The 9,698-nt window shown below is 49.2% G+C and overlaps 1 pseudogene, besides 1 other annotated feature; it reads left to right on the plus strand.

Moving 5' to 3' along the window:
* Window positions 4,338-4,837: an enhancer, noted in NCBI's record as "H3K4me1 hESC enhancer chr10:126553027-126553526 (GRCh37/hg19 assembly coordinates)". NCBI's record gives its function as "activates a minimal SCP1, AML or CMV promoter by ChIP-STARR-seq in naive H9 embryonic stem cells {active_cell/tissue: H9 hESC(naive)}" and the evidence as "EXISTENCE:reporter gene assay evidence [ECO:0000049][PMID:30033119]".
* Window positions 7,297-8,411, plus strand: NPM1P31 (nucleophosmin 1 pseudogene 31; annotated as a pseudogene).
* Window positions 8,412-9,698: the final 1,287 nt, after the last annotated feature.

A 9,698-nucleotide genomic window follows, 5' to 3' on the forward strand; every position in this document is an offset into this window, starting at 1 on the left:
AGGCTGTGGTGCAATGGCACAACCTTGGCTCACTGCAGCCTCAACCTCTGGGGCTCAAGTGATCCTCCCATCTCAGCCTCTGGAGTTACCAGGACCATGGGTGCACACCACCATACCCAGCTAATTTTTGTATTTTTTGTAGAGATGGGGTCCCTCTATGTTGCCCAGGCAAGTCTTGAACTCCTGGGCTCAAGCAATTTTCTTACCTCTGCCTCCCAAAGTGCTGGGATTATAGGCGAGAGCCACTGTGCCCAGCCAGAAGTTTTCTTTTTTTGGAGACAGGGTCTCACTCTGTCACCCAGGCTGGAGTGCAATGGCACAACCTTGGCTCACTGCAACCTCTGCCTCTTGGGTTCAAGTGATTCTCGTGCTGTAGCCTCCCAAGTAGCTGAGATTACAGGCATGTGCCACAATGCCTGGCTAATTTCTGTATTTTTTGTAGAGGTGGGTTTTTGCCATGTTGGCCAGGCTGGCCTCGAGTGATCTGCCTACCTTGGCCTCCCAAGTGATGAGATTACAGGCATGAGCCACCGTGCCCGGCCCCAGAAGTTTCGCTAGTGAATCTCTGTTGGTGGTAATGTCTCCCAGGTTTGTTTCTCTGAATAATTTTATTTTGATTTTCACCTTTGAAAAATACTTCTTCTGGCTGGGCGCGGTGGCTGACGCCTGTAATCCCAGCACTTTGGGAGGCCGAGGTGGGCAGATCACCAGGTCAGGAGTTCGAGACCAGCCTGGCCAACATGGTGAAACCCCATCTCTACTAAAAATATAAAAATTAGCTGGGTGTGGTGGCGCGTGCCTTTAATCCCAGCTACCCAGGAGGCTGAGGCAGGAGAACTGCTTGAATCGGGACCTGGGAGGTGGAGGTTGCGGTGAGCTGAGATCACGCCATTGTACTCCAGCCTGGGCAACAAGAGTGAAACTCTGTCTCAAAAAAAAAAAAGAAAAGAAAAATACTTTTTCTGGATTTACAATTCTGAGTGATTTTCTCCCTCTGGAAGGCATTAGCCTACTCCCCTATGTCTTCGTAAGGCTGCTGCCAGCCTGCCATTTTTAACATGATCCATTCATTCTCTCTGGCTGCTTTTATGGTCTCCTCCTTGCCTTTAGCGTGCCCCTGTGGTGTGGATTTGAGGCAGCTTTCAGCCTTGTGTTGACCTTTTTTGAGGTCATTCTCTACATGTTCTTTTTCAACCTGTTATTTCACTATTGTTCAGAATAGTCAGCAACTTTCCAATCCCTTTTAAAAATCAACAATACAGTCTTAGATGGAAGAATTTTATGGGCTTCAGTCCTAAGAATGTACCATTCTATTTCAAACCACTAAAAACATAAGTTATTTTAATGGAGTGTTTAGCCTATTTACATTTATATGATGATATATTTGTGTTTAAATAGAGCGTTTTAATATTTACTTACTTTTTACTTTTTTTTTTTTTTGAGATGGAGTTTCACTCTTGTCGCTCAGGCTGGAGTGCAATGGCACGCGATTTTGGCTCACTGCAACCTCCACCTCCCAGGTTCAAACGATTCTCCTGCCTCAGCCTCCTGAGTAGCTGGGATTACAAGTGTGTGCCACCACACCTGGCTAATTTTTGTATTTTTAGTAGAGATGGGGTTTCACCATTTTGACAAGGCTGGTCTCAAACTCCTGACCTCAGGTGATCCTCCCGCCTCAGCCTCCCAAAGTGCTGGGATTATAGGCGTGAGCCACTGCACCCCGCCTTAATAATATTTATTTTCTCTTTATCTTACCTGTTTTATTTCTTTTTTCTCTTTTTTTTTTTGCCTTCTTTGGAAAAATCAAGTATTTACTATTATTTTAAGTTCTAGCTGCTCAGGAGTTATCAAATACTTTCAAGCAGATTATGCGTGTGTGTGTGTTTATCTGGTTTTTCTAGTTGTTTTCAGTGGGACAATTGACATGCTCAAAGCTACTGCATCACAACTGGAAGTAGAATCCTTGATGAGCTCTTGAGTGGGGCTTTGCTGCAAGTGGGTCATAGCTGAAAGAACTAGCTGTGAAGAGCTTGAACCCCAGCTTCACGTGCACCAACAAGGTTGCACTTTCAGGCAGTGGTAGACTCAGACCCACACTGGGAGCAGGAGCAGGGTGGTTTGGCAGAAGGGGCATGGACAATTGGGCCCGTCACACTAGGACACTAGGAGTGAATTCTGGCTTGGCAAATTTACTCTCAGTGAGATTTGAGCTAGTTATCAAGTTTCTTTCTTTCTTTCTTTCAGTTCTTTCTTTTACCCTTTTTTTTTTTTTTTTTTTTTTGAGATAGGGCCTTGTTCTGTCACCTGGGCTGGAGTGCAGTGGTATGAACATGGCTCACTGCAACCTCAACGTCCTGTGCTCAAGCCATCTTCCCACCTCAGACTCCCGAGTAGCTGGGACAACAGGTGTGCACCACTATGCCCAGCTGATTTTATTTATTTATTTTACTTATTTATTTATTTACTTAAGAGACAGGGTCTCACTCTGTCACCTAGGCTGGAGTGCAGTGGTGCAGTCTTAGCTCACTGCAGCCCTGACCTCCCAGGCTGAAGTGATTTTCCCACCTCTGCCTCCTGAGTAGCTGGAACTACAGCTACTGGGCTAATTTTTTTATTACTTGTAGAGATGAAGTCTCATTATGTTGCCCAGGCTGGTCTCAGACACCTGGGCTCAAGCAATCCTTCTGCCTCGACTTCCCAAAATGCTGGGATTACAGGTGTGAGCCACTGTGCTGTCTTTTAAAATGTTTTATAGAGATGGGGTTGCATCACGTTGCCCAGGCTGGTCGGAAACTCCTGGGCTAAAGTGATCCTTCCACCTCAGCCTCCCAAAGTGCTGGGATTACAGGTGTGAGACACTGCACCCAGCTGCTTCTTTCTTTATGAAATAGAGATGGGTATTCACCATGTTGCCCAGGCAGGTCTCGGACACCTGGGCTCAAGCGATTCTCCCGCCTTGGCCTCCCAAAGTGCTGGGATTACAGGTGGGAGCTACCACCCCTGGCCTTGGCTAATGTATGTAAAGTAGTTAGTACTGGCTGGCTACTGAGCCAGCCCTGAAGAAATGGATGGTAATGATGTTGTTAAAGTAATTGGGCCTCACTGGGCCTGGTGGCTCACACCTGTAGTCCCACCTAATTGAGAGGCTGAGGCAAGAGGATCACCTGAGCCTAGGAGTTCAGGCCTAGCCTGAGCAACAGAGCGAGACTTCATCTCCAAAAAAAGAAGGAAAGACCACTGGGGTCTCAATCCTTAGCATTTTGCAGACCACCAAAGACCTGGAAGGGGTCAGAGGCTGCCGCCTGGCTGGCCCTGCTGTTGGAAAGAAGCCTGGGGAAAGGTAGGAAGAACTGTGGATTCCCTCCTGGAGCGAGCTGCCCTTCCCAGCCCAGGGTGGGTATGCTTGGGAGTAGGACCCTCTGGCCACGTGCAAGGAAGCCCTACCAGGCCCACAGCCCAGGTTATGCTTGACCTCTTCCCCTAACAGACTCCAGGCAAGTCTCCTGCCTCCTCCAACCTGTTTTCTTCCCAACCAGGGCAGCAGAGCAGGTCCTGCTGGCTGGCCTTTAAAGTCTTGCTTTTAACTTAGCCCCATAGCTGGGATAGGGTCAAGTGAGGAGACCTCGTGAGGCTAAACTAATCAATGCCCTGAAATGATATTTCTCTTATCAGTGGATCTTCCCCCTGGCTGCACTTCAGAATCCCGGGGGAGCTTCAGCAAATACCACGGCCGGGGCCCAGCCCTAGGGCTTCTGGAGTAGGGCTGGGGCCCATCCCCGGGGCTTCTGGAGCAGGCCTGGGGCCACTGGTAGGGTTCAAGAGCTCAGCAGGTAATTTTATTTATTTTTTGAGACGAAGTCTCACTGTCACCCAGGCTGGAGTACAGTGGCACGATCTCAGCTCACTACAGCCTCCACCTCCTGGGTTCAGGCGATTCTCCTGCCTTAGCCTCCCAAGTGCCTGGGATTACCAGCGCCCACCACCACGCCTGAATAATTTTTGTATTATTAGTAGAGACGGGATTTCGCCATTTTGACCAGGCTGGTCTCAAACTCCTGACCTCAGGTGATCCGCCCTCCTCGGCCTCCCAAAGTGCTGGGATTACAGGCGTGAGCCACTGCTCCCGGCCTCAGCAGGTGATTTTAACGAGCAGCCAGAGTTGAGATGGCTAGTCTAAGCCTCTAGTCATTCAAATGTTTAGCCTGTTGAGGCTGGAAGAGCTCCAGAGACCCTCCGTCTGGCCCTCATCTTACACGGGGAGACTGAGGTCTGCGAGGAGCCCGTGGGCTGGGAATGACAGTCTCTGTTTCCTGCCCCGCCTAGGACCTGAGACCACATTCCTTTTTTAGAGCACAGCGTGGCAGTGAGCCAGCATCTCAGCCCCAAAACAGGTCAGGCCAGGGAGGAGTCCAGGCCTGGTGACCATAGCTGCTGTCACTCAGGGCACACCCACTGCCTGCCAGGCTCTGGGCGGACACCTTCCTTCCACCACATAGGTGGCATTATCCACGCTTTCTGGTGATGACAGTGAGGCCCACTTGGCCAAAAGCCACTTGGGAGGAAGTGACCCAGCCAGGAATCATCCCGAAGCTGACTGACCCTGAGGCCTGTGTGTGTCCCATGAACCCTTCCTCTACCCCTCCCTCCCAGGGGAGGAGACCACCAGTGCAGGAGTCAGCGGACAGGGGCCCCTTCCTGGCACTGCCAGCTGGGCCAACAGGAGGAGAGAGAGGCAGGAGCAAAGACCTGCTTGTCTGAGCCTCGGTGTCTCTTGCAGTCCAAATGCCATCTGGTCCTCAGTACAAATATATTTCTAGGAAATCAATGATGTCCGGGCTGTCGCAGCCTCACCTCTGGACACTTATATAATCATTAACAAATGTCTGCCATTAAAGAGAAATGACTGTCATTTGACACCCAAGCTCCATTTCCAAACAGCAGACTGGTATTTACCCTCCTCCTGAAAAGAGTGGATTCTAAAACAGACGGCTGAGCTCACCTCTTCCTGATTTGCAGGAAACAATCCTCCAAATGTAAAGGTCTCAACCCAGCCTCCCAGCCAGGGAGTTCTCTGTCCATAAGGTTAAGGCTTCTATTCAGATTCAGCTAAAATAGCACTTCATGAAGTTGACTTTCTTTTCTTTTATTTATTTAATTTTTGAGACAGAATCTTGCTCCGTCATCCAGAAGTGCAGTGGCCCTATCTCGGCTCACTGCAACCTCTGCCTCCCGGGTTCAAGTGATTCTCCTGCCTCAGCCTCCCAAGTAGCTGGGATTGCAGGCACATACCACCATGCCTGGCTAATTTTTGCATTTTTAGTAGAGATGGGGTTTCCCCATGTCAGCCAGGCTGGCCTCGAACTCCTGACCTCAAGTAGTCTGCCGGCCTCAGCCTCCTAAAATGTTGGAATTACAGGCATGAGCCACTGCACCCAGCCAGCCATTGTGCCCGGCCCCAGCCTTTCTTCTAAAGGAAAGTGTTTAACTATGTAGGCAGGAAATGCACTCTTCTACATTTTAGATTACAAAAATGCTTCCAAGGACACAAGGCGTTCTCTTGTATCCTCACGGCTGTAGGAAGCCCTTGAGTGAAGGGTAGACGGTGGGGCTTTGAGGGTCACAGGGCAAGTGCTGGGCCCAGCATGGCCACGGACTGACTTCAGGAACTCGGACAGATCACTTCTCCCTGCGCCTCCACCTCCCCACCACCGCCGTTTGGTAAGGGAGCTGGAGCAGCTCAGCTGTCCACAAACCTGGCCACCCATCAGGATGACCCGGAGAGCTTTTTGGTCTGCTGCCTTTTAAGCTCCTCGTCTCTCTTTTAAGCACAGCCAGGTTCGGGAACTCCTGGCCAGCAGGCTGCCAAGCCCCCAGCTCTGACGGTCTGAGTGTCTGGTGGAAAGCTGCAAAGCCCTTGGCCCGCCAGCATGTCTGACCTGATGTTTTTTGCCCACTTCAATTCCTGGCATGTTGTAATGATGAGAGATCTGGTTATCCTGGGATGGTCCGTTCAGGCTTAGAACCATAGCTAACGTTTGTCAAGCCTTAGGAAGGGTCAGGCTTCCTCACACCGGTATCTTGTTTATTCCCCAGAACAGCCTACTGTTAATCTAAATCTAAATCTAAAACTACTGTTATTAGATTTTGTTTATGGCTAAAGAAACTGAGGGTCAAAGTATCTAGCATGCATTTAGGTTGGGACTTGAAGCATGGAGCCAGGACTGGAACTTGGAGGGCCTGGCCCAGAAGCCTGTGGCCATAGTCACTCCATCACTCAGTCAAAGTAATGGGGCCACCCTTAGGGGTGCAAGGTGAACCCAGCAGGAAAATAGCTGCTTCCCCGGAGCAGCACACTCTCCCGTCCTCGTGCCCAGGTACCCCCCGATAGGGACGTTTTACTGCGTTCTGAAAGGTGTGCAGGGACCTGGTTCAGTCTTTGACATCGTGGCCAACAGTCACAAGTACCCCGAACATCTCATTCCTTCCAAAATGGGGTTGTCGCCTGCGTGCCTTCCTTCTTCCTATGACCCTGGAAAAGATTGCTCCGGAAGGTGCCCACTATGTGGATGGGAAGCATCAGAGGCAAGACTCCAGGCACATCAGCGTGTCTGTGGACGTGGACATGTGGCTGCCATCTTCTGCCTCTTGGTCAGGTAGTTGTCACTCAGCTACCTCCTTGCTCTGAATCCTTCCGGTGGGCTTGGCCAACCTCCTCCCATGTGCCAGCCACACAGAGGCTGTCTCAACCCTGGCTGCTCATTAAAATCACCTGCAGAGCTCTTGAACCCTACCACTGGCCCCGGCCCTGCTCCAGAAGCCCTAGGGATGGGCCCTGGCCATGGTATTTGCTAAAGCTCCCCAGGGATTCTGAAGTGCAGCCAGGGGGAAGATCCACTGATAAGAGAAATGTCATTTCAGGGCATTGATTAGTTTAGCCTCATGAGGTCTCCTCAATTGGCCCCATCCCAGACATGGGGCTAAGTTAAAAGCAGGACTTCAAAGGCCAGCCAGCAGGACCTGATCTGCCTGCCTAATGAGGTGGGTGGATCACTTTAGGCTAGGAGTTTGAGACCAGCCTGACCAACTTGGTAAAATGCTGTCTCTACTAAAAATACAAAAATTAGCCAGATGTGGTGGTGCACGCCTATAATTCCAGTTATTTGGGAGGCTGAGGCATGAGAATTGCTTGAACCTGGGAGGCAGAGTTTGCATTAAGCCAAGATCATGTCACTGCACTCCAGCATGGGTGACAGAACCAGACCCTGTCTCAAAAAAAAAAAAAAAAGAAAAAGAAAGCTGGTGTGATTCCATCCTGCGGGGCTGTTCTCTTGAGCAGTGGTCGTTTATCTCCGTCCGCCTTCTCTACCACCTAAGTGTATGCCGCCACCCGATGGAAGATTCGATGGACATGCACATGAGTCCTCTGAGGCCCCAGAACTATCTTTTCAGTTGTGAACTTAAGGCCAACAAAGATGATCACTTTAAGGTGGATAATGATGAAAATGAGCACCAGTTATCTTTAAGAACAGTCAGTTCATGGGCTGGTGCAGAGGATGATTGCACATTGTTGAAGCAGAGGCAGTGAATTAGAAGGCGGTCCAATTGAAGTAACACTGGCAACTTTGAAAATGTCTGTTTAGTCAACGGTTTCCCTTGGGGGCTTTGAAATCACACCACCAGTGGTCTTACAGTTGTAGTGTGGCTCAGGGCCAGTGCATATTAGTGGACAGCACTTAGTAGCTGTGGAGGAAGATGCAGAGTCAGAAGATGAAGAGGAGGAGAGTGCGAAACTCTTAAGTATATCTGGAAAGCAATCTGTCCCTGGAGGTGGTAGCAAGGTTCCACAGAAACAAGTAAAACTTGCTGCTGATGAAGATGATGATGATCATGATGAAGATGATGGTGATGATGAAGATGAAGATGATGAAGAAGATGATGATGAAGATGAAGATGGTGGTGATGATGAAGAAGATGATGATGAAGATGACGAGGAAACTGAAGAAAAAGTGCCAGTGAAGAAATCTATACGAGATACTTCAGCCAAAAATGCACAAAAGTCAAATCAGAATGGAAAAGACTCAAAACCGTCAACACCAAGATCAAAAAGACAAGAATCCTTCAAAAAAACAGGAAAAAACTCCTAAAATACCAAAGACCTAGTTCTGTAGAAGATATCAAAGCAAAAAGCAAGCAAATATAGAAAAAGCACTGAACAGTCCTGGGCACTACTGATAAATTAAGCCCAAAGATAGGGAGAAAGGAAAAGGAGAGACAAATATAGCCCATACTGAATGTCATCAACAATCCAGACCATAGTCTTCTATTTTCATCTCAATCCCCTTTTCTGATTTGCCACCCAGGCCTCTTCAGGCTGGAAATAATCTCACTCTTGGTTCCCTAATGCACTTTCTCTGACTGCTGTGATTCAGTGAATCTTGCCCTTTGCTTTCTATTACTTGTGCATTTGCCTCACCTCTGACCATGTTTTAAATCACCTTTGTATCTCCTTAGCTGCTCGATAAATATTTGAATAATAAAAAAAAGAAGCTAGGCGAGGTGGCTCACACCTGTAATACTAGCACTTTGGGAGGCTGAGGTGGGCAGATCACCTGAGGTCAGGAGTTGGAGACCAGCCTGACCAACATGGTGAAACCCTGTCTCTACTAAAAATACAAAAATTAGCCGTGCGTGGTGGCAGGCACCTGTAGTCCCAGCTACACGGGAGGCTGAGGCAGGAGAATTGCTTGAACCTGGGAGGCAGAGGTTGCAGTGAGCCAAGATGGCGCCACCCACTCCAGCCTGGGCGACAGAGCGAGACTCTGTCTAAAAAAAAAAGAAAAAGCTAGTGTGTGGGAAAGTGTTTATGACCTGTAAAGAGCAAGGAGATTTGTCTATTTTTAACTTCCTTCCACCCTTTTCCTTCCTTCCTTTCTTCTTCCCTTCCTTCTTTTCCTCCGTCTGTTTTTTTTTTTTGATTCTCGGACTTTCTCCCACTGAATCCCCTCAGACTCTGCCCCTTTGCCTGCCACACTCTTGCAATTGCTTCAGTCTTGAAAGCAAATGCCTCTGACCCTAACTTTCCTCCGGAAGCCCCTTCAACTTTCCCTTTCTTCCCCCGCGGCAGCTCAGAGAATCTCAGAGCCTTGCAGACAGCACATGATGGCCTGCGCCATCACCTGCCTGTTAGGGAACGGCTCACCTGAGTCTTTTCTCTCTATATATTTCTTTCTTTCATTCTTTCTTTCCTTTCTTGAGACAGAGTCTCACTCTGTTGCCCAGACTGGAGTGCAGTGGCATGATCTTGGCTCACTGTGACCTCTGCCTCCCAGGTTCAAGTGATTCTTCTGCCTCAGCCTCCCAGGTAGCTGGAATTACAGGAGTCTACCACCACGCCTGGTTAGTTTTTGTATTTTTAGTAGAGGTGGGGTTTCACCATGTTGGCCAGGCTGGTCTCCAACTTCTAACCTCAGGTGATTCACCCACCTTGGCCTCCCAAAGTGCTGGGATTACAGGCATGAGCCACCATGCCAGGCCTCACCTGAGTCTTTAAAGCCACAGACTGGTGAATGTGGGTGGTGCATTGGGTAGGCAGGTTGGGTGTGGCATGGAGCTGAATGCAGCTAGCAGAGTGCACACACCTGCAGGGCCTCCTTAAACTCAGGCAGGCAATGCCATTGAGGTGTTATTTCTGTCCCTAT

This window comes from Homo sapiens, chromosome 10 (genome assembly GCF_000001405.40).
Source record: "Homo sapiens chromosome 10, GRCh38.p14 Primary Assembly".
NCBI lineage: Eukaryota > Metazoa > Chordata > Mammalia > Primates > Hominidae > Homo > Homo sapiens.